The sequence below is a fragment of the Homo sapiens genome, chromosome 14 (genome assembly GCF_000001405.40).
Source record: "Homo sapiens chromosome 14, GRCh38.p14 Primary Assembly".
Lineage (NCBI taxonomy): Eukaryota > Metazoa > Chordata > Mammalia > Primates > Hominidae > Homo > Homo sapiens.
In genome coordinates, this window is record NC_000014.9 from 52,155,627 (window position 1) to 52,157,077 (window position 1,451).

The 1,451-nt window shown below is 42.8% G+C and overlaps 1 annotated feature.

The window, feature by feature from the left end:
• Window positions 351-850: an enhancer, noted in NCBI's record as "H3K4me1 hESC enhancer chr14:52622695-52623194 (GRCh37/hg19 assembly coordinates)". NCBI's record gives its function as "activates a minimal SCP1, AML or CMV promoter by ChIP-STARR-seq in primed H9 embryonic stem cells {active_cell/tissue: H9 hESC(primed)}" and the evidence as "EXISTENCE:reporter gene assay evidence [ECO:0000049][PMID:30033119]".

Genomic DNA, 1,451 nt, shown 5'->3' on the forward strand with positions numbered 1-1,451 from the left:
TTTTGGGTACATTGGTTTAAATATAGTATTAAAATTAATTTCACCTATTTCTTTTTGCTTTACTAAATGTGGCTACTAGAAGATTGAAATTATGTATGTAATTATTTATGTAAACCCTGGCCTACACTCTGGAGGCTGACAGGGACCGCCGCCCACCCCGGCTCGGCTTTGCCGGCAGTGAGTCAGCTGTCTTCCACGGCTTCTTCTCCATGCCCGAGATATGCTGCCCTAGCTGGAGTTGCTCCAGATGGACAACCTCCGTGACAAACTCCATCCCATCATCATCTCCATGAACTACTCTTTACCTATACGGATGCCGGATCGCCTGCAGCCGGGGCTCTGGTCCCTGGACGCCCACCAGGCACGGGCTTTGGAGAACCATACTGAGGTCCAGTTCCAGAAGGAGTGCGGGCCTGACAATAAGTGCGAGAGCAACTTGCAGATACGGGCAGCCTTCATGTCGGAGCAGCAGCAGAAGCCGGGCAGGCTCCAGTACAGCAGAGACGTCTGGAAACTGCTCCTGAGCATCAACGTGACGAACACCCGGACCAACACATTAGTCCAGACCATTGCTGTCCGGTAGAAATGTAATGCGAGCAACGTATACAATTTCAATCTTCTGATAGCTACTGCAAGTAGTAGGTCTAGTCCACAACCCATTAGTCCAGACCATTACTGCCCAGTAGAAATGTAATATGAGCAACATATATAATTTCATATATGAAGATTTCAATCTTCTAGTAGCTACATTTAATAAAGTAAAAGGAAAGAGATGAAATTAATTTTAATATTGTACTTTCTTTAAATAAATATATCCAGAAATTATCATTTCAACATTAATCAACATGAAATTACTAATGAGATATTTTACATTTTTTCCACACTAAGTCTTAACAATTTGGTGTGTATTTTACACTTAACAGTACATCTCAATTCAGACCAGCCATATTTCAAGTGCCCAATCATGGCCACATGGAGTGAGTGGCTACAGCATGTCCTAGGCAGCTTTGTTTTTTATCTCATTGACATCATGTGAGGCGCAGCAAATAAAAATCACTGGAAGAGTAGGACACAAGACAGGCACATTTTAATTAAGGGGAGAAGTAAATAAGAGTAGAAAAGTTTGAAAAAGAGTGTGCCCAGATAGGGTAGCCTATGGAAAGGCCTGGAAATAGGGATGGGGTCAGTCACTCCAGGTAGAGCGGTGGCAGGTGGGGTTTGGGGGAGGGGTCTTATTGATCAATATGTAGGATTTGACTTCATTTCCTTTTTAAAAAATGCTTTTTCTCTCCTCCACTTTACTATATCTGTAATTCTCTATTCTGTAGTCTTTCTTTTTCAGCTTCTCCAAAAAGGAAATAAAGGCCTAATTTCCTCGAGAGGGTAGGTGGAGTAAGATGTGGGCATGAGGAATATGTGTCTCTCTACAGGGGACTTTGCCCATAACACAT